Source organism: Homo sapiens, chromosome 1, assembly GCF_000001405.40.
Source record: "Homo sapiens chromosome 1, GRCh38.p14 Primary Assembly".
Lineage (NCBI taxonomy): Eukaryota > Metazoa > Chordata > Mammalia > Primates > Hominidae > Homo > Homo sapiens.
In genome coordinates this window covers 21,766,756-21,787,867 of record NC_000001.11, presented here as the reverse complement: position 1 = coordinate 21,787,867, position 21,112 = coordinate 21,766,756, and the positions used below count along the sequence as shown (strand labels likewise).

The 21,112-nt window shown below is 46.5% G+C and overlaps 1 protein-coding gene across 15 annotated transcripts in view, besides 9 other annotated features; it reads left to right on the top strand.

Annotated features, from left to right (window-relative positions):
- Nucleotides 2,034-2,208: a silencer, noted in NCBI's record as "fragment chr1:22112153-22112327 (GRCh37/hg19 assembly coordinates)". NCBI's record gives its function as "represses an EF-1alpha promoter that drives an FKBP-Casp9 reporter gene in an ReSE screen in K562 erythroleukemia cells {active_cell/tissue: K562}" and the evidence as "EXISTENCE:reporter gene assay evidence [ECO:0000049][PMID:32094911]".
- Nucleotides 4,131-4,901: an enhancer, noted in NCBI's record as "NANOG-H3K27ac-H3K4me1 hESC enhancer chr1:22109460-22110230 (GRCh37/hg19 assembly coordinates)". NCBI's record gives its function as "activates a minimal SCP1, AML or CMV promoter by ChIP-STARR-seq in primed H9 embryonic stem cells {active_cell/tissue: H9 hESC(primed)}" and the evidence as "EXISTENCE:reporter gene assay evidence [ECO:0000049][PMID:30033119]".
- Nucleotides 4,131-4,955: a biological region, named in NCBI's record as "NANOG-H3K27ac-H3K4me1 hESC enhancer GRCh37_chr1:22109460-22110230".
- Nucleotides 4,336-4,385: an enhancer, noted in NCBI's record as "active region_339". NCBI's record gives its function as "activates an Ori minimal core promoter by ATAC-STARR-seq in GM12878 lymphoblastoid cells {active_cell/tissue: GM12878}" and the evidence as "EXISTENCE:reporter gene assay evidence [ECO:0000049][PMID:35858748]".
- Nucleotides 4,596-4,955: a silencer, noted in NCBI's record as "silent region_389". NCBI's record gives its function as "represses an Ori minimal core promoter by ATAC-STARR-seq in GM12878 lymphoblastoid cells {active_cell/tissue: GM12878}" and the evidence as "EXISTENCE:reporter gene assay evidence [ECO:0000049][PMID:35858748]".
- The window catches only part of USP48 (ubiquitin specific peptidase 48), a 104,852-nt gene continuing 88,458 nt past the window's right edge, over nt 4,719-21,112 (top strand). For all 15 annotated transcript variants that reach the window (XM_047432030.1, NM_001350164.2, NM_001350166.2 and 12 more), the window contains exon 1: nt 4,719-5,044. In XM_047432030.1, the coding sequence (XP_047287986.1) occupies nt 4,911-5,044 (134 nt within the window). In that variant the 5' untranslated portion in view covers nt 4,719-4,910. The remainder of the gene's footprint in view (nt 5,045-21,112) is intronic.
- Nucleotides 4,902-5,673: an enhancer, noted in NCBI's record as "NANOG-H3K27ac-H3K4me1 hESC enhancer chr1:22108688-22109459 (GRCh37/hg19 assembly coordinates)". NCBI's record gives its function as "activates a minimal SCP1, AML or CMV promoter by ChIP-STARR-seq in naive H9 embryonic stem cells {active_cell/tissue: H9 hESC(naive)}" and the evidence as "EXISTENCE:reporter gene assay evidence [ECO:0000049][PMID:30033119]".
- Nucleotides 5,326-5,425: an enhancer, noted in NCBI's record as "active region_338". NCBI's record gives its function as "activates an Ori minimal core promoter by ATAC-STARR-seq in GM12878 lymphoblastoid cells {active_cell/tissue: GM12878}" and the evidence as "EXISTENCE:reporter gene assay evidence [ECO:0000049][PMID:35858748]".
- Nucleotides 5,986-6,035: an enhancer, noted in NCBI's record as "active region_337". NCBI's record gives its function as "activates an Ori minimal core promoter by ATAC-STARR-seq in GM12878 lymphoblastoid cells {active_cell/tissue: GM12878}" and the evidence as "EXISTENCE:reporter gene assay evidence [ECO:0000049][PMID:35858748]".
- Nucleotides 14,795-15,294: an enhancer, noted in NCBI's record as "H3K27ac hESC enhancer chr1:22099067-22099566 (GRCh37/hg19 assembly coordinates)". NCBI's record gives its function as "activates a minimal SCP1, AML or CMV promoter by ChIP-STARR-seq in naive H9 embryonic stem cells {active_cell/tissue: H9 hESC(naive)}" and the evidence as "EXISTENCE:reporter gene assay evidence [ECO:0000049][PMID:30033119]".

Here is a 21,112-nt window from a genome sequence, read left to right as displayed (position 1 = left end):
CAGGTGATCCGCCCCCCTCAGCCTCCCAAAGTGCTGGGATTACAGGTGTGAGCCACTGCACCCAGCCAGCCTTTGCCTCTTTTAAAAAGTTCTAAGTTGCTAGCCAATCAGGACAAATATAGAATGTGAGGTCCTGTTCCAGCCAATGGAAGTCAGACACAGCAGTAGGGTGGACGCTTCAGGTTATAAATGACCCTGTCCTGTTTGTTCAGTGTACTCTACTGGCAAAACTGCTGGCGAGTGTACCCTTTCTGCAGAAAGTAAAAATGGCCTTGCTGAGGATGTTAAATTTATGTTCAAGTGCTATTTGTTTTTTGTTGTTTTTTTTTTAGATGAAGTCTCGCTCTGTCGCCAGGCTGGAGTGCAGTGGCACAATCTTGGCTCCCTGCAACCGCTGCCTCCCAGGTTCAAGCGATTCTCCTGCCTCAGCCTCCTGAGTAGCTAGGACTACAGGCGTGTGCCACCATGCCCAGCTAATTTTTTGTATTTTTTGTAGAGACGGGGTTTCACCATGTTGGCCAGGATGGTCTTGATCTCTTGACCTCATGATCTGCCTGCCTCGGCCTCCCAAAGTGCTGGGATTACAGGTGTGAGCCACCGCGCCCGGCCGTAAGTGCTACTTCTTTACGGCACTGGGGAACAAGCATTTCTAACAAGATCCCCCAGGGAGTAAACAAAGTTAAAGGAGAGGTCCAAAGGACTGAACCCTAGGCCACTCAAGTTTCCAGGTTAGAGGAGAAAGAAGCTGCAAAGGACACCGGAAGGGATGGCCAGCAGTAAAGAGAAAACCAGGAGAGTGTGGCACCCTGTGATTTAAGAGAAGAAAGTGTTTCTAAGAGGAAAGAGTGAATAACTGGGTCAATTGCTGCTAACAGGTCTAGTAAAATAAATAGAGTATGAGTTTACCACTGCATTTAACAAGGTGAAGGCCATTGGCATTCTTCATACGAGCAGTTTTGGAGGTGATAGAGGCAAGAACCTGATTTGGGAGGTTTAAGGAGGAATAGGAGGAGAACTGGAGAAGAGTACAGAAAATGCTTTCCAGGAGTTTTGCTATAAAGGGAAAAAGAGAAATGGGACAGTAGCTGGAGGGGGATGTGGGAGTCAAGAGAGGGTTTGTTAAACTTCAGAGAAATTACAGCAAATTAGCACATTTGGGTTTTGTTTGTTTGTTTTTGAGACAGGGTCTCCCTCTGTCGCCCAGACTGGAGTGCAGTGGTGAGATCTCTGCTCACTGCAACCTCGACCTCCTGGGCTCAAGCAATCCCTCCACTTCAGCCTTCTGAGTAGCTGGGACTACAGGTGCCTACCACCACACCTGGCAAATTTTTGTATTTTTGTAGAGACAGGGTTTCACCATGTTGCCCAAGCTGGTCTCGAACTCCTGACCTCAGATGATCTGTCCACCTCGGCCTCCCAAAGTGCTGGATTACAGGCGTGAGCTACCGTGCCTGGCCGAAATCATCTTCTTTCTAAATCTGTTCCTTCTTCTGGTGTTGCTATCTCATTTGGTAGAAATTCTATTTAATTATCCAATTTAGAAAACTGCCATATAGTAGTGTCTTCATGGTGAATGATAGTCACAATTTCATCATGTGCTAAGTGAAGCAAGGGATGACACAGGGAGCTGTGGATACTGAGGAAAGGGGTGTGACCAGACTTGAAGGTCAAATATCAGAAAGGTGAAGATATACCGGTCAGGTCAACATCATCAAGCTGTAGCAAGTCCTCATTCTGTCCAAGGCGTTTGAACCAGAGTGACTCTATCTTGAATGGGGGCTGGGTAAAATAAGGCTGAGACCTACTGGGCTGCATTCCCAGGAGGTGAAGACATTTTTTTTGCCTGAGTTTCCCACCGTCGCCTGGGATGGAGTGCAATGCCACGATCTTGGCTCACTGTAACCTCCGCCTCCTGTTCAAGCAATTGTCCTGCCTCAGCCTCCTGAGTAGCTGGGATTACAGGTGCCCGCCACCATGCCTGGCTAATTTTTGTATTTTTAGTAGACCCAGGGTTTCACTATGTTGGCCAGGCTCATCTCGAACTCCTGACCTCGTGATCCGCCCACCTTGGCCTCCTAAAGTGCTGGGATTACAGGCATGAGCCACCATGCCTGGCCTAAGGCATTCTTAGACACAGGATGAGATAGGAGGTCTACACAAGATACAGGTCATAAAGACATTGCTGAGAAAACAGAATGCAGTAAAGAAGCTGGTTAAAACCCACCAAAACCAAGATGGCCATGAGACTGACCTCTGGTCGTCCTCACTGCTTATTATATGCTAATTATTATACGCTAATTATTATACATTAGCATGCTAAAAGACATGCCCACCAGTGCATGACAGGTTACAAATGCCATGGCAAAGTCAGGAAGTTACCCTATATGGTCTAAAAAGGGGAGGAGGCCAGGCGCGGTAGCTCACACCTGTAATCCCAGCACTTTGAGAGGCCGAGGTGGGCGGATCACCTGAAGTCCGGAGTTCGAGACCAGCCTGACCAACATAGTGAAACCCCGTCTCTACTAAAAAATACAAAAAAATTAGGCGGGCGTGGTGGCAAAAGCCTGTAATCCTAGCTACTTGGGAGGTTGAGGCAGGAGAATCGCTTGAACCCAGGAGGCGGAGGTTGCAGTGAGCCCAGACCACACCATTGCACTCCAGCCTGGGCAACAAGAGCAAAACTCCGTCTCAGGAAAAAAAAAAGTCTTCTCTGCCTCACTATACAAAATGCAAATCTCCATTATAGCACTCAACAGCTGTATATCTTCAGTGGGTACTTTGAATAAAGGTCTTCCTTTTTTTGTTTTTTTTTTTGTTGTTATTGTTGTTTTATTGTTGTTGTTATTGTTGTTTTGTTTTGTTTTTGTTTTTTTTTTGGAGACAGAGTCTCGCTCAGTCGCCCAGGCCGGAGGGCAGTGGCGCGATCTCCGCTCACTGTAAGCTCCGCCTCCTGGGTTCCCGCCCTTCTCCTGCCTCAGCCTCCAGAGTAGCTGGGACTACAGGCGCCCGCCACTACGCCCGGCTATTTTTTTTGTATTTTTAGTAGAGAGGGGGTTTCACCGTGTTAGCCAGGATGGTCTCGATCTCCTGATCTCGTGATCCGCCCGCCTTGGCCTCCCAAAGTGCTGGGATTACAGGCGTGAGCCACCGCGCCCGGCGGCAAGGTCTTCCTTTCAAGCCATAACTCTCACCTGTCCCTGTCTCAGAAATTGTGGCCCTCTCACGCCAAGCTTTTCTCTTCTGTGCCTTTGCTCCTTGTGGTTTCTTTTTTTCTGGAATGGTGTCTTTCTTCTATCCTGGATAAGTCCAACTCACCCGTTAAAAGCGGGCTTCGGAATTACTTCTGGGAAGCCTTTTCTCAAGTACCCCGAAGCCTCCCAAGACTGGGATGGGGATCTTTGTATTTCTACCGCTCACTCCCTAACCCACTTCCAAGGGCAGGGACCACATCTTACTTTCTTCTGCCTTCAGCGAATTTTTTTGTTTTTTTTGAGACGGAGTTTTACTCTTGTTGCCCAGGCTGGAGTGCAATGGCGTTATCTCGGCTAACCACAACCTCCGCCTCCCGGGTTCAAGCGATTCTCCTGCCTCTGCCTCCCGACTAGCTGGGATTACAGGCATGCGCGACCGCGCCTTGCTAATTTTGTATTTTTAGTAGAGACGGGGTTTCTCCATTTTGGTCAGGCTGGCCTCGAACTCCTGACCTCAGGTGATCCGCCCACCTCGGCCTCCCAAAGTGCTGGGATTGGATCCTTGAGCCACGGTGCTCGGCCCAGTGAATGTTTATCTAAAGAATTCAGCCTAAGGTTTTCCAGCAGGCAAGCAGCTGAGTCAGAAGTTAGCGCTTAGATTCTGGCAGAGCTCTAATTCAAATTCAAAATTCTTAAATATCCTCACTTTAGTAGAGTTCTTTACAGTTTGCAAAACAATTCTCATAAAGCTACTCTTTATGTCCTGGGGCAGGAGTCGCAGAAAGGAAATGTTTTAAACCAGGAGCTAGAGAGGAACTAGAAAATCCTGGCATAGAGGTAACAGTCTTGAGAAGGGAGCCAACAGCAAACATGACCTTGCGCACCAGAGAAACTCCACCCTGGCACCTCGGACCCCCGCCCGCACAGTCTGCGGCGCACTGAGCACTCCCACCTCGAAGACTACAAATCCCAGCATGCCTCACAGTCAGTGGCAGGACGCAGGGCATGCCGGGACACGTAGTCCCACCCTAGCACGGGAAAAGGCCGGAAGGTCCCATGACGTCAGGAGGGCTCGGGAAAGGGGTTCGGAACCGGTCTAGGCTCAAGTTAAATCTCCCTCTAAAGAGCCAACACTGGTTTCTTTGGCGACTCGGTTTCTACTCTAAACAGGTCCCGCTCCACAGTCTGGGCGGGCCTGTGTGTGCGTTGAGTAGCCTCTAGCGTGAAAACTTCATGGTTAAAAGGGAAGTACCGGAGGCAAGAAATAGCTTTCGAGGCACTGGTTTGTTAGAGTAGTGGTACGTAGTGCGCCGCCCTGAACGGGGGCTGAGACGCTGCTTTTCCAGAAGTGCCAGTGAGGACGTGGCAAGACCGCCTCGGACGTACGCTTCCTCTACCTCAGCCCGTCGGGTTAGGGGCGCGGGAGGCGCAGAGGCTGCTGGGAACGCGCATGCGCTCAGCGCGGCGGGGAGTCCACCTTTAACGTCCGCGGGCGCGGGGTGTGTCGGGTGTCGACGGCGGCGCTTTGCGGCCGGTCGTGCGGGTCGGGCGCGGGCGGGCGCGGCGGCAGTGGCGCGCACAGGTGATTGACTGGCCAGCTGCCTGAAGGAGCGCCAGGTCCTCCTTGCTGGCAGGTGGCGAAGCCCATTGGGGCGGCGGTGCAGACCGCGGCGGCGGCTGCGGCGGTCTGGCTCGGGAGGCGTTCCTGGGGCCAAGGCCATGGCCCCGCGGCTGCAGCTGGAGAAGGCGGCCTGGCGCTGGGCGGAGACGGTGCGGCCCGAGGAGGTGTCGCAGGAGCACATCGAGACCGCTTACCGCATCTGGCTGGAGCCCTGCATTCGCGGCGTGTGCAGGTGAGGCCCGCGCACCGCGCCTCGCGGGCTCCTCGCGCCGGACCTTGGAAAGCCCGGGCGGGGTAGGGGAAAGGAAGACGGCAGCCCTTTGCGTGCATTTGGGAGGCGCGGAGCCGAGCGAGGTGGAGTTTCCCCCTTTGCGCCGTCTGCGCGACCTGGGAAACGCAGGCTTCCCGGGCTGTGCGCGGAGGTGATGCTGGCCAAAGCACTTTAGGAAGGTTTGGGTTCCCATCCAGAAGATGGCGGTGGAGATGAAGGCAGGAGCTGAGAGCTTAGCAAGCGTTGATGGTTGGGGTATCTTGGCCACAGCACGGCTCTTTCGTTTGTAAAAAGGAACTTTTTGGAAGTGAGCTTCATCACAGTGTATCTTGTTGGTGTTGACACCGAAGGCCTGATCATCTTAGTATTATTTTTGTAGAGGGCAGCTTTAGAAAAAACTGTGGTCAGCCTACGTCATCGATACCCTGCACCCCCGTTGGCCTTCCCTCACTCGTTAATCTAGTATTTTTTTTAAGCCTTTCTTTGGTCGTTCTGGTTCGACACCAGTTTACCGAGTACCAAGTTTAAGCTGTGATAGTGCTGTCCTTCACGTCTGCGCCGCCCTTGAACTTTACCTTTCCTTAACCCCCTCATATAGATTGAATCCTTAGGCTTTGCTCCCGTTTATTCCCTTTTTTCCACCTTGTAACGCGGGAACTATAGTTTTTGTTTCAGAATGTTGTTGAAATTGACTTGGCCAAGCCGGGCATGCTCAGTAGCCGTCTTTCGGCAGGCATTTAGGAAATGCTTTCTGGAGTTTTTACATTCCGCTGGGGGATCCGGAAGGAATGGAAGTCATGGTCTCTGGCTTTGGAGCTTAAAGTCTAGTATGAGAAGTGAAATAAGTTAGGGAGTTTCTATAAAGCAAACGAATAAGTCCAAGCTCTGGGCGTCTGTCTCACAAGGAGGGTAAATCTGACTTTAACAGTAAGTTCTGGAATGTTTGAAGTCTGTGTATAATAGAAATAATCAAGCTTCAGTCAGTTTCTCAACGTAATTAGTTTCCAGACTAACCAAATAATGTAAACTACTAATAGTTCTGGTGGTTTTTGAGACAGGGTCTCACTCTGTCACACAGGCTGGAGTGCAGTGTCACGAGCTCGGCTCACTGCAACCTCCGTTTCCCAGGCTCAAGCGATCCTCCCACCTCGGCCTCCGGAGTAGCTGGGATTAGAGGCACGGGCCACCACGCCCGACTCAGTTTTGTATTTTTAGTGGAGACGGGTTTTCGCCATGTTGGCCAGGCTGGTCTCGAGCTCTGGGCTCAAGCGATCTGCCCACCTCTTCTGGGATTACAGGCGTGAGCCACCATGCTGGGCCAATTTCTGATATTTATTTATTTATTGAGACGGTGTTTCGCTCTTATTGCCCAGGCTAGAGTGCAATGGCGTGATCTCGGCTCACTGCAACCTCTGCCTCCTTGGTTCAAGCGATTCTCCTGCCTCAGCCTCCTGAATAGCTGGGATTACAGGCATGCACCATCATGCCCGGCTAATTTTTTTTTATTATTTTTATTTTTTGTATTTTTAGTAGAGACAGGGTTTCTCCATGTTGGTCAGGCTGGTCTCGAACTCCTGACCTCAGATAATTTGACCGCCTTGGCCTCCCAAAGTGCTGGCATTACAGGCGTGAGCCACCGCCCGCCAGGCCGATACTTTTTTTTTTTTCGAGACAGCGTCGTGAGACGCTGGATAAATTTAAAAAAATAAATTTTTAAAATAAAAATTTTAAAAGAAAAAAGAATAGGCCGGGTGCGGTGGCTCATGCCTGTAATCCCAGCACTTTGGGAGGCCGAGATGGGCGGATCACGAGGTCAGGAGTTCGAGACCAGCCTGGCCAGCATGGTGAAACCCCGTCTCTACTAAAAATACAAAAATTAGCCGGGGGTGGTGGCGGGCGCCTGTAATCCCAGCTACTGGGGTGGCTGAGGCAGGAGAACCCTGGAACCCGGGAGGTGGAGGTTGCGGTGAGCCGAGATCACGCCACTGCACTCCAGCTTGGGCAACAGGGCGAGACTCAGTCTCAAAAAAAAAAAAAAAAAAAAAATTATCTTATCTTGGCTCTGTATGCCCTGTATGTTCCGCCTCTAAATTTCCCTATTCTGGACATTTCATATAAATGGAATCCTAAAATACGTGGACTTTTGTGACTGATTTCCTTTACTTATGTATTTAAGGGTCATCCATGTTGTAGCATGTTTCAGCACTTCATTTCATTAAAAAAATACCTGGGAAATACATATGACAGTGTTTACCATTTTAAAGTGCACAATTCGGTGGGTTTCAGTACCTTTATAGTGTTGTACAACCATCACCACTGTCTGGTTCCAGAACTTTTCATTATCCTAAAAGGAAACTGAGCATCTGTTAGTCACTTCCCATTTTCCCCCCTCGCCCAGCCCCTGGCAACTGCTAATCTACTTTCTGTCTCTGGATTTCTCTATTAATATTTCATAGCAATGGAATTATACAGTACGTGGCCATTTGTGTCTGGTTTCACTTAACGTAATGTTTCCAAGGGTTATCCCTGCTGCGCATGTGTCACTACTTTATTCCTTACGGCTGAGTAGTATTCCATTTTATGGATAATACCACATTTTATATATCTATTCATCAGTTGAGGGACATTTTGATTATTTCCACCTTTTGCTTATTTTGAGTAGTACTTCTCTGAACATTTGCATACAAGTTTTGGTCTGAACATCTGATTTCAGTTCTTTACCTGGGAGTGGAATTACTGGGTCATACACAGTCAATTCTGTGTTTAACTTAACCGAACCGCGAAACTTCCACAGTGGTTGTACCGATTTACATTCCCACCAGTGATGTATGAGGGTTCAAATGCTTCATCATCCTCATAAACAGGTACTATTTTCTGTTTTTCTGGTTAGGCCCTCCTACTTGGGTGTGAAGTGATGCATCTTTGTAGTTTTGATTTGCATTTTCCTAGTGACTAATGAGTTCAGCGTCTTTTCATGTGCTCGTTGCCTCTTTTCCTTTTATTGATCAATAATATGCCATCATATCTCTGTATCTACCACATTTTTAATTTGCATTCATCTGCTGATAGACATTTGGGTCATTTCTACTTTTTGGCTATTATAATGTTGCTATGAACATTAGTGTAGTAGTTTTTGTGTGGGCATTTATTTTTATTTCTCTTGGTTATAGAGCAAGAAGTGGGATTGTTGGGTTGTGTGGTAACTTTTAACTTTTTATTATTATTATTATTTTTTTTTTGAGACGGAGTCTCTCTGTGTTGCCCAGGCTGGAGTGCAGTGGCGCCATCTCGGCTCACTGCAACCTCTGCCTCCTAGGTTCAAGCGATTCTTGTGCCTCAGCCTCTGAGTCACTGGGATTACAGACGCCCACCACCACACCCGGCTAATTTTTTGTATTTTTTAGTAGAGACTGGGTTTCGCCAAGTTGGCCAGGCTGGTCTTGAACTCCTGACCTCAGGTGATCCACCTACCTCGGCCTCCCAAAGTGCTGGGATTACAGGCTTGAGCCACCGCACCCAGCTCTTTTAACTTTTATTTATTTATTTATTTTTAATGAGGTCTCACTCTGTAACACAGACTGTATTGCAGTGCAATCATGGCTCACTGCAGCCTTGAACTCCTGGGCTCAAGCAATCCTCCCGCCTCAGCCTCCTGCCACTACAGGCACATGCCACAACACGAGGCTAATTAAACAAAATTTTTTTGCTGGGCGTGGTGGCTCACGCCTGTAACCTCAGCACTGTGGGAGGCCAAGGCTGGCGGATCACGAGGTCAGGAGATCGAGACCATCCTGGCTAACGTGGTGAAACTCCGTCTCTACTAAAAATACAAAAAATTAGCCGGGCATGGTGGCGGATGCCTGTAGTCCCAGCTACTCGGGAGGCTGGGGCAGGAGAATGGCATAAACCCGGGAGGCAAAGGCAGGAGAATGGCACGAACCCGGGAGGCAGAGCTTGCAGTGAGCTGAGATACGCCACTGCACTCCAGCCTGGGTGACAGAACGAGACTCCGTCTCCAAAAAAAAAAAAAAATTTGTGGAAATGGAGTCCCACTTTGGTGCCCAAGCTGGTCTTGAACTCCTTGCTTCAAGTGATCCTCCTGCCTTGGCCCCCTGAAATGCTTGGATTGCATGAATGAAACTGTTCATGGCCTTTTTTTGGCTTTTTTTTTTTTTTTTTTTTTAAGATGAGGGTCTTGCTATGTTGTGTAGGCTGTCCTTGAACTCCTGGGCTCAATCAATACTCCTGCCCCAGCTTCCCTGGTAGCTGGGACTGTAGGCACGAACCACCATGTCTGTGTTTAATATTTTGAGGAATTGTCAGGTTACTTTCCAGAGTGGCTGCGCTATTTTACATATTCACAAGCAGTATATGAGGATTCCAATTGCTCTATGTCCCTATACTTGTTACTGCCTTTTTTCTTTTAGCCATCCTAGTGGGTGCGAAGTGGTGTCTTATGTTTTGATTTGTGTTTCATTGATGACTAATCACGTTAAACATCTTTTTGTGTACTTATTGGCCATTCATATATCTTTTTTGAGAAATGTCTGTTTAAATCCTTTGCGTGCTTTTAAATTGAGTTGCCTTTTGTTATTGAGTTGTGATCTTTTTTTGGTCTTGTTTTTGTTTTGTTTTTTTTTTTCAGACGGAGTCTCACTCTGTCACCCAGGCTGGAGTGCAGTGATGCCATCTCGGCTCACTGTAACCTCCGCCTCCCAGGTTCAAGCGATTCTCCTGCCTCAGCCTCCCGAGTAGCTGGGACTACAGGCGCACACCGCCACGCCTAGCTAATTTTTTTTTTTTTTTTTTTTTGGTATATTTAGTAGAGACGGGGTTTCACTATGCTGGCCAGGCTGGTCTCAAACTCCTGACCTTGTGATACGCCCACCTCAGCCTCCCAAAGTGCTAGGATTACAGGCGTGAGCCACTGCATCCAGCCAAGTTGTGTTCTTTATATATACTGCATATAAGTCCCTTATTAAATATATGATTTGCAAATATTTTTTCTAATTTCTATGGCTTTTAATTTTATTGGTGGTATCATTTTCAGTACAAAAGCTTTTCATGTTGATGTAGTCCAATTTCTTCTTCTTCTCCGCCTTCTTATTCTTATCAGTGAAGCAGGGTTCTTGCTTTGTTGCCCAACCTGGAGTGCAGTGGTGTGATTGTAGCTCACTGTAGCCTTAAACTCCTGGTCTCAAGTGATCTTTTTGCCTCAACATCCCCAGTAGGTACAACTGCAAGTTGTACCACCACACCCAGCTAATTTTTTTGGTATTTTTTGTAGAGTTGGGGTCTTACTATGTTACCCAGGCTGACCTTGAACCTTTAGCCTCAAGCAGTCCTGCTTCAGCTTCCCAGAGTACTGGGATTACAGGTGTGAACCACCTGGCCCCAACATTGTACTATTTTTTTTTTGACGCTTTTGGTCTTGTAAGAAGCCACACCTCACCCAAGGTTTGAGCAGTTTTAATTAATGAATTAGTTAATTTTATGAGACAAGGTCTGGCTCTGTTGCCCAGGCTGGAGTACAGTGGTGCAATCTTGGCTCAATGCAACCTCTGCCTCCCAGGGGCTCAAGCCATCCTCCTACTTCAGCATCCCGAGTAGCTGTGACTACAAGCATGCTCCACCACACTCGGCTAATTTTTGGTGTTTTGTTTTTTTTTTTCAGATGGAGTCTGGCTCTGTTGTCCAGGCTGAGTGTAGTGGCGCAATCTTGGCTCACTGCAACCTCCGCCTCCCATGTTCAAGCGATTCTCCTGCCTCAGCCTCCTGAGTAGCTGGGATTACAGGCATGCACCACCACACCTGGCTAATTTTTTTTTTTTTTCTTTGAGACAGAGTTTCACTCTTGTTGCCCAGGCTGGAGTGCAGCGGCACAAACTCGGCTCACTGCAGCCTCCGCCTCCCAGGTTCAAGCAGTTCTCCTACCTCAGCCTCCCGAGTAGCTGGCATTGCAGGCACCACGCCCGGCTAATTTTTGTATTTTTAGTAGAGATGGGGTTTTGCCATATTGGCCAGGCTGGTCTCGAACTCCTGACCTCAAGTGATCCCCCCGCCTTGGCCTCCCAAAGTGCTGGGATTACAGGCGTGAGCCACTGTGCCTGGCCCTGTCAGCTTTTATTTAGATATCCAAAAAGCTCTCTTTCTACTCACTTTCTTCTTTTTTTTTTTTTTTTTTTTTTTTTTGAGACAAGACACTATTCACTTTCTCCTTTTTTATAGAGACAGAGTCTTGTCACATTGCCCAGGCTGGTCTCAAACTCCTGGGCTCTAGCAGTCCTCCCTCCTCAGCCTCCTAAATTGCTGGGATTCCAGACATGAGCCTTTCTCCTTTTGTTTATTTCTTCTCTTTGCAAGAAGAGACTAAATAAATAAATAGTATCACCAATATGTATTTTTCATACTTTATGCAACAATTTGTTATGAGATACCAAAGCTGAAGAATGAGGTGTTTGACCATATTCAAAGACCACATGTGTCAGGACTGTTTACATTTCTGAAAGTACTTAGGGCAATCACAGGATGAAAGCAGTGTGTACTAAATCCTCTGTCCACAGAATTCTGCAAATATTATGTGTCTTGAGGGCAGACTTGTTTGTTAACAGTGAGGTTGGTGGTCAAGTAAGTTCCTGGAAGTAAAATTGTTGGGTAAGGGATGTGTGTTTTTCATATTGATCCATGTTGCTAAATTGCCCCTCAGAATGAGGGTTTCTCTTTACATTTCCCTGTCAATGTGTAAGAGTATCTTACATATACATCATACCCTCACCAACATAATGTGTTAGTCACACTTTCTGATCTAAGTGCAAAGGGTTTCATATGTTTAATATGTATTTATTTTGTTACAATTTCTTTTTGTTACAGTTAATCTTTTGATGTGAAATTTGTTTTGTTTTGTTTTTGAGACGGGGTCTTACTATGTTGCTTAGGCTGGTCTCAAACTCCTGGGCTCAAGGGATCTTCCTTCCTCAGCTTCCTGAATAGCTGGGATTACAAGTGCATGTCACCATGCCCAGCCTTGATATGAATTTTCAAAGGCTGGATTTACTTATGCTTCCAGCCGTGTATAGGGAGTACAATGTCTGTTTTGTTCTCATTAGGGAAACATCATATGACTATTACTAAATTAAAACATTACAGAAATGTGTGAAGCACTCTAGAAAGCCAGTGTCATGCCACCTTACTTCAGTGGCTTTGTAGCTCTAGTCCCAAAACCCTAATGAGGGCCACGCACGGTGGCTTACGCCTGTAGTCCCAACACTTTGTTAGGCCGAGGTGGGAGGATTACTTGAGGTCAGGAGTTTGAGACCAGTCTGGTCAACATGGCAAAAACCCATTTCTACTAAATTAGCCGGGCATGGTGGCGGCATACACCTGTAATTCCAGCTACTCAGGAGGCTGAGGCGCGAGAATTGCTTGAACCCAGGAGGTGTAGGTTGCAGTGAGCCAAGATTGAGCCACTGCACGCCAACCTGGGTGACAGAGTGAGACTCTGTCTCAATAAAAACCAACCAACCAAACAAAATAACCCTAACGAGGACCCATAGTTCCAGCTACACTGGAGACTGAGGTGGGAGGATGGCTTAAGCTTGGGAGGTGGAGGTTGCAGTGAGCCAAGACCATGCCACCGCACTCCAGCTTGGGCGATAGAGCAAGACCCTGTCTCAAAGGAAAAAGAACAAAGGGGAGTCACAATACATACTTTGTTGCAACTTGTTTCTATTCATGCATGTAGAGCTGCCTTATTTATTTATTTATTTATTTATTTATTTATTTATTTATTTATTTTTGAGAGAGTCTAGCTTTGTTGCCCAGGCTGGAGTGCAGTGCGTGAATTTGGCTCACTGCAACCTCCGCCTCCCAAGGTTCAAGTGATTCTTGGGCCTCAGCCTCCGGAGTAGCTGGGACAACAGGCATGGGCCACCATGCTTGGCTAATTTTTGTAGTTTAGTGGAGACGGGGTTTCACCATGTTGGCCAGGCTGGTCTCAAACTCCTAACTTCAGGTGATCTGCCCACCTCAGCCTCCCGAAGTGTTGAGATTACAGGTGTGAGCCACCGCACCTGGCTATTCTTTTTTCGTTTGTTTGTTTTGAGACAGAATCTTGCTCTGTTGCCAGGCTGGAGTACAGTGGTGCAATCTCGTCTCACTGCAACCTCTGCCTCCCGGGTTCAAGCAATTCTCCTGCCTCAGCCTCCTGAGTAGCTGGGACTACAGGGGCGCCCCACCACACCCGGCTAATTTTTGTATTTTTAGTAGAGATATGGTTTCACTGTGTTGGCTAGGATGGTCTCGATCTCCTGACCTCGCGATCTGCCCACCTTGGCCTCCCAAAGTGCTGGGATTACAGGCATGAGCCACTGCGACCGGTCCTATTCTTTCTTAAAAAATATTCTTATGTATGTTTATGATATATAACATAGCATACATACAGATAGTAAAATGGTAACTGTAATGAAGCAGATTGACATCTGTTATCTCACAGTTACAAATTTTGTGTGTGGCAAGAGAAGCTAAAATCTCATTTAGCAGGAGCCCCAAATACATACCTGCCTTATTATTATTATTATTATTATTATTATTATTATTATTATTATTTTGAGACGGAGTCTCGCTCTGTCACCCAGGCTGGAGTGCAGTGGCGTTATCTGCTCTCACTGCAACCTCCACCTTTTGGGTTCAAGTGATTCTCCTGCCTCAGCCTCCCGAGTAGCTGGGATTACAGGCGCATGCCACCATACCCACCTAATTATTGTATTTTTAGTAGAGCCACCACACCCAGCCAGTTACATAGTTTTTTAAAAATAGAGATGGGGTCTTGCTTTGCTGCCCTGACTGGTCTTGAATTCCTGGCTTCAAGCAGTCCTTCCACCTTGCCCTCCCAAAGTGCTGGGATTACAGGTGTGAGCCACTGTGCCTAACCTTCATTATAATTTATTTAACCAGTTTCCTGTTGATGGACTTTGGGGTTTCCGGTTTTTGATAATACAACCCGTGCTGCCCTAGCCAGCCCTCTGCATCGATCTTGAGTGTTGAGTGAGTGTTTTCACTTAGGTTGCTAGATGAGAAATTGCTGAGGTAAAGGGACTGCTTAGAATTTTGATAGATGTCAAAAGTTCATACCATTTATCCTGGTCCTCTAGAGTGAGTGTGCCTATTACCTTATACAAAGCATTTCTATTCCCAGCTTCCATCTGATTAGCGAAAAATAGCATCTTATTTTCATTTGCCATTTTTTGCTGGTGACATTGAGCATCTTTTTAATTTTATTTTTTAGTTTTATAGAGATAGGATCTCATGTTTTGCCCAGGCCGGTCTTGAACTCCTGGGCCCAAGAAATCCTCAGCCTTGGCCTCCCAAAGTGCTGGGATTACAGGCGTGAGCCACTGTGTCCCTTCTCCTTTTTATATTTACTTGCCATTTGTATTTCTCCTGTGAATTGTGTGTTCTGGATTGTTGGTCATTTTCTTACTGATTTTCAAGAGCTTATTGAATATTTCTTTCTTTTTTTTTTTTTTTTTTTTGAGACCGAGTCTCAGTCTGTTGCCCAGGCTGGAGTGCAGTGGTGTGATCTCAGCTTGCTGCAACCTCTGCTTCCTGGGTTCAAGCGATTTTCCTGCCTCAGCCTCCCAAGTAGCTGAGACTACAGGTGCCTGCCACTATGCCTGGGTAATTTTTGTATTTTTGTAGAGAGGGGTTTCACTATGTTGGCCAGGCTGGTCTTGAACTCCTGACCATGTGATCCGCCTGCCTCAGCCTCTCAAAGTGTTGGATTACAGGCGTGAGCCATCACGCCCGGCCGAATATTTCTTTTTTCTTTCTTTTTTTCTTTCTTTCTTTCTTGGTTTTTTTTTTTTGAGACAGAGTCTTGCTCTGTTTCCCAGGCTGGAGTGCTGTGGTGTGATCTCAGCTCACTGCAACCTTTGCCTCCCAGATTCGAGCTATTCTTTTGCTTCAGCCTCCCAAGTAGCTGGGATTACAGGTCCGTGCCACCACTCCTGGCTAACATTTGTATTTTCAGTAGAGACGGGGTTTCACCATGTTGGCCAGGCTGGTCTTGAATACCTGACCTCAGGTGATCCACCTGCCTTGGCCTCTCAAAGTGCTGGGATTATAGGCGCGAGCCACCACGCCTGGCCTAGTTTTTTTTTTTTTTGAGATGGAGCCTCGCTGTGTCACCCAGGCTGGAGTGCAGTGGCGCGATCTCGGCTCACTGCGAGCTCCGCCTCCCGGGTTCACACCGTTCTCCTGCCTCAGCCTCCCAAGTAGCTGGGACTACAGGCGCCCGCCACCACGCCCAGCTAATTTTTTGCATTTTTTGTAGAGACGGGGTTTCACTGTGTTAGCCGGGATGGTCTCAATCTCCTGACCTCATGATCTGCCCGCCTCGGCCTCCCAAAGTGCTGGGATTACAGGCATGACCCACCATGCCCGGCCCGGCCTAGTTTATTGAATATTTCTGTCGAAGATATTTTCTGTGGTATATTTGGGCTTTGTGGGCTTTTTTTCCTTTTGGTACGTTAGTTTTTGATTTTTTATGTGGTAAAATTTATGAATGCTTTTTTTATGGTTTCTGGATTTCCCAATTCTGAGGTTATAAAAATATTCACTCATGTTGTGTTTTAGTACTGATGGTTTACTTTTATGCAACCTTTATGTTTTTATAATTTAATTTGATTTATGGATTGAGGTAGGGATCCATCAATATTTTATTTTGCCTTTTACCAAATGGCTACTCACTTGTCTTAAACCATTTATTGAACAATTCAGTCTTTTTCCTCACCAGTTAAAAATCCACCTTTATTACATGGCAAATTCCCATATTTACTTGGGTTTATTTTTCAGTCCTTTTTTTTTTTTGAGATGGAGTTTCGCTCTTGTTGCCCAGGCTGGAGTGCAATGGCGCAATCTCGGCTCACCACAACTTCCACCTCCTGGGTTCAAGCGATTCTCCTGTCTCATCCCCCTGACAGCTGGGATTACAGGCATGTGCCACCACGCCCGGCTAATTTTGTGTTTTTAGTAGAGACGGGGTTTCTCCGTGTTGGTCAGGCTGTTCTTGAACTGTCGACCTCAGGTGATCTGCCTGCCTTCGCCTCCCAAAGTGTTGGGATTATAGGTGTAAGCCACTGCACCCAGCCTCTCAACCCTGTTTTTTTTGCCATTGATTAATTTCGTTGAATAACTCTGTAGTGATACCACAATTCTAATTATTTTATAGTATTTGAAAAATATCTGATAAGGCAAGACCTTAATTCCTTTTAGAATTTTTCTCATGGTTCTCATGAAAAATAAATAAATAAATAATTTATAATTAACCATTATATTATAATTTATAATTATAAAATTATAAAATAATTATAAATTATAATTTATTAATAATTAATAATAATTTATTTTTTTTTGAGATGGAGTCTTGCTCTGTCGCCCAGGCTAGATTGCAGTGGCACGATCTTTGCTCACTTCAGCCTCCATCTCCCGGGTTCAGGCGATTCTCCTGCCTCAGCCTCCCAAGTAGCTGGGACTACAGGTGTGCACCACCACTCCCGGCTACTTTTTGTATTTTTAGTAGAGACGGGGTTTCACCACGTTGGCCAGGTTGGTCTTGATTTCGAAAATTTACTTAAAAAATTATTTGTATTTTAGTTGTTTTTTGAGACAGTCTTGCTCTGTCACCTAGGCTGGAGTGCAGTGCCACGATCTTAGCTCACTGCATCCTCCACCTCTTGGGTTCAAGTGATTCTTGTGCCTCAGCCATCTTAGTAGCTTGGATGACAGGCATGCACCACCATGCCTGGCTAATTTTTTTGTATTTTTTAGTAGAGATGGGGTTTCACCATCTTGGCCAGGCTGGTCTTCAACTCCGGGCCTCAGGTGATCTGCCTGCCTCGGTGTCCCATAGTGCTGGGATTACAGGCGTGAGCCACTGTAGCCAGCTTGAAAATTTATTTTTTTACATACAGAAAAGCACACAAATCATAAGAATAACACTTGATTGGCCAGGTGCAGTGGCTCATGCCTGTAATCTCAGCACTTTGGGAGGCCGATGCAGGCGGATCACCTGAGGTCAGGAGTTCGAGACCAGTCTGGCCAATATGGTGAAACCCTGTCTGTACTAAAAATACAAAAAATTAGCCGAGCATGGTGGTGCGCGCCTGTAGTCCCACTACTCAGAAGGCTGAGGCAGGAGAATCGCTTGAACCTGGGAGGCGGAGGTTGCAGTGAGCTGAGATCATGCCTCTGCACTCCAGCCTGGGCAACAGAGTGAGCTCTGTCTCAAAAAAAAAAAAAAAAAAAGACACTTGATTGACTAATTATCACAAAAGAAATTTATCTGTCCCATATCTACCACCAAGATCAAAACATTACTAACACTTCAAGACACCCTTATCTTCCATTTTTCTACTACCAGTTACTTCTGCCTCTTTTCCTTGAAGGGAACCACTTACCCTTAACTTTGAATTGAGCAGATTATTTTGCCTATGTTGGACTTTATGTATATTCATACATTGTCATTCCTTCTGCTTCTGTTTTCTTTCACTCAACTTTATAAGATTAATTTATGTGTAAGCAGTAGTGTGTTCAATTCTAGTGCTGTACAATTTTTTTTTTTTTTTGGTGGAGGACGAGGTCTCAATATGTTGCCCAGGCCAGTCTGGAACTCCTGGGCTCAAGCAATCTGCCCACCTCAGCCTCCCAAAGTGCTGGGATTATAAGCATGAGCCAATGGGACCAACAGTGCTGTACATTATTTCAGTGTGTGAGTATATACTATATATTATATTCCTTTCTACTAGTGATGGTCATTTTGATTTTTCCATGTATTTGGTCATTATGAATAAAGCTGCAGTGAACATTCTGCATATATATTTTAGTGTCCTTTTTTTTCTTTTCTTTTTGATACAGGATTTCACTTCATCACCCAGGCTGGAGTACATGATGTGATCACAGTTCACTGCAGCCTTGGCCTCTGGGGTCTGTCTAAGTGGTCCTTCCACTTCAGCTTCCCCAGTAGCTGAGACTGCAGATACTCACCACCATGTTTGGCTAATTCAAAATTTTTTTGTAGGCCCGGCGCAGTGGCTTACGCCTTTAATCCCAGCATTTTGGGAGGCTGAGGTAGGTGGACACTTGAGGCCAGGAGTTCAAGACCAGCCTGGGGAACATGGTGAAAACCCATCTGTATAAATATACAAAAATTAGCCAGACGTGGTGGTGCATGCCTGTAATCCCAGCTACTTGGGAAGCTGAGGTGGGAGAATTGCTTGAACCCAGGAGGCGGAGGTTGCAGTGAGCTGAGATCTTGGCACTGTACTCTAGCCTGGGTGACAGCGAGACCCTGCCTCAAAAAAAAAAAATTGTTTCTGCTCCCCTCCCTCCTCCCACCCTCCACCCCCAAGTAAGACCCCAACGTCTATTGTTCTTTGTGTTCGTAAGTTCTCTTTGTGTTCAGAAGTTCTCATCATGTAGCTCCCATAAGATAAAGATTTATCTTCCCCAGAGTCCTAAATATTCTCCTGTGTTATTTCTATAAGTTGTATTGCTTTATCTTTCATGCTTAGGTCTACAGTCAACCTGGAATTGATTATTCTCATCAGTTGGGAAGTAAGATCATGGAATAATTTGACGTTACTTGATCTCTATGACTTTAGCAAAGTAGCAGAGGATTGAATGACTGCTAATCATGAACATGTCTGATGTTAGCAAAAGCAACAACTCAAAGCAAAAGGGAGACATACATGGGGAAAACGAACACAAATACTTAAAATTAAATACATGACGAGACTGTGTGTGTGTTTTAAAAAATGATATTGGGCCAAGTGCAGTGGCTTAAGCTAGTAACCCCAGCAGTTTGGGAGGCAAAGACGGGAGGATCACTTGAGGCCAGGAAGACCAGGCTGCAGTGAGCTATGATTTTACTGCTGCACCACAGCCTGGGCAACAGAACAAGACCCTGCCTCAAAACACAAACCAAAACCAAAACGATACTGTTTTATTACTACTAGCAGGAGTGGCCTACACGGGTGGTGGGTATGCTGGGCTTAGGGTGTATGGGAGCCATGAGGAGAAGATGGTGACTGAGATCCTAGAAGGAAAGGGGGGGTGGGGCTTGAAAGGGGTGGGGCTTGAAGGCAAGACCCTCCTTAGATTTGCTTCTGGGAATAGGTAGCCATGATAAAACAGTCATGGCTTATGATGAACTAGGGCCATGCTGCCAATAAGATTAAGAAATTTTTCAGTCTGAGATGAGGGAAACAAAAAAGATTAAGCAATTCTTGGAAATCTAACTGCCTGTCACAGTTGAGGTCTAGTTTCTTCATCATGTGGTCAAGGACACCAGCGTCCTTGTGGTTCTGTGTGAGGGCAGCCAGTTCTGTATTCATGAAACTGAGGGGCTCCCCTCTTGGAGAGTTTGCGGTTGTGACATCCTTTCCAGCATCCTCCTGGAAAATAGCAATCAGGGACTTGATGCACTGCTCAGTCTCTGTAGGGCTGGAGAATTTTTCCATATTGGAGTTGAGTGAGGTACCTGCTGAGACTTTTCTATTTTGCAAACTCTTTTTTTTTTTTTGAGACGGAGTCTTGTTCTGTTGCCCAGGCTAGAGTGCAGTGGTGCAATCTCAGCTCACTGCAACCTCTGCCTCCCAGCTTCACGCCTTTCTCCTGCCTCAGCCTCCTGAGTAGCTGGGACTACAGGTACCCGCCACCATGCCCGGCTACTTTTTTATATTTTTAGTAGAGACGGGGTTTCACCATGTTAGCCAGGATGGTCTCGATCTCCTGACCTTGTGATCCACCCGCCTCGGCCTCCCAGAGTGCTGGGATTGCAGGCGTGAGCCACCATGCCTGACCTGTTTTTAGATTTGCTTATTTCTTGCATGTCTAATTTATGAGACCTTGATACAGTAATGCCATGAGGCATTACATGAAAATCACTGTAAAGTTTTTAGTAACTAGAACCTAGAATTTATATTATCATGGTTCTCCTTTATTTTCACTTTCAGGAAAATCTGTACTTTAGTGTTTTAAGTAAACTAGTTTCCTTCTTCAATGATTTTTCAAAAAATTTTTCTTTAAAAACAATTTATTTGTAAGCAGGCAACGTAGTGAGACCCTGTCTCTAGAAAAAAAAAAAAAGCTCTCTAAAAAGTCCTGGCCGGGTCGCGGTGGCTCATGCCTGTAATCCCAGCACTTTGGGAGGCCGAGGTGGGCAGGTCACGAGGTTAGGAGATCGAGACCAGCCTGGCCAACATAGTGAAACTCCATCTCTACTAAAAATACAAAAATTAGCCGGGCATGGTGACGCACACCTGGAGTCCCAGCTACTCGGGAGGCTGAGGCAGGAGAATCACTTGAAACCAGGAGGTGGAGGTTGCAGTGAGCTGAGATTGAGCCACTGCACCACTGCACTCTAGCCTGGGCAACAGAGCGAGACACCGTCTCAAAAAATAAAAATAAAAAAGGTCCCAGGCACAGTGGCTCATGCCTATAATCCTGAGTCAAGGAATTCTAGCCCAGCTTGCGCAATGAGGCTAAACCCCATCTCTACAAATGATACAAAAAAGCCGGGTGTGGTGGCGTATGCCTGTGGTCCCAGCTATTTGGAAGGCTGAGGTGGGAAGATCACCTGAGCCTGGGAGTAGAGTATTATACACCCTGAGTGCCCAGGAGGCCATGGATTTTGTTTGTTGTTGTTCTTGTTTTTTGTTTTTTTGAGGCAGAGTCTTGCTCTGTCACCCAGGCTGGAGTACAATGGCATGATCTTGGCTCACTGCAACCTCCGCCTCCTGGGTGCAGGCGATTCTCCTGCCTCAGCCTCCCAAGTAGCTGGGTTTATAGATGCCCGCCACCACGCCGGCTAATTTTTGTATTTGTAGTAGAGACGGGGTTTTGCCATGTTGGCCAGGCTGATCTGGAACTCCTGACCTCAAGTTATCCACTCGACTCAGCTTCCCAAAGTGCTGGGTTACAGGCATGAGTCTCAGGAGGCTCGGGCAGGAGAATGTCTTGAGCCCGTTAGGT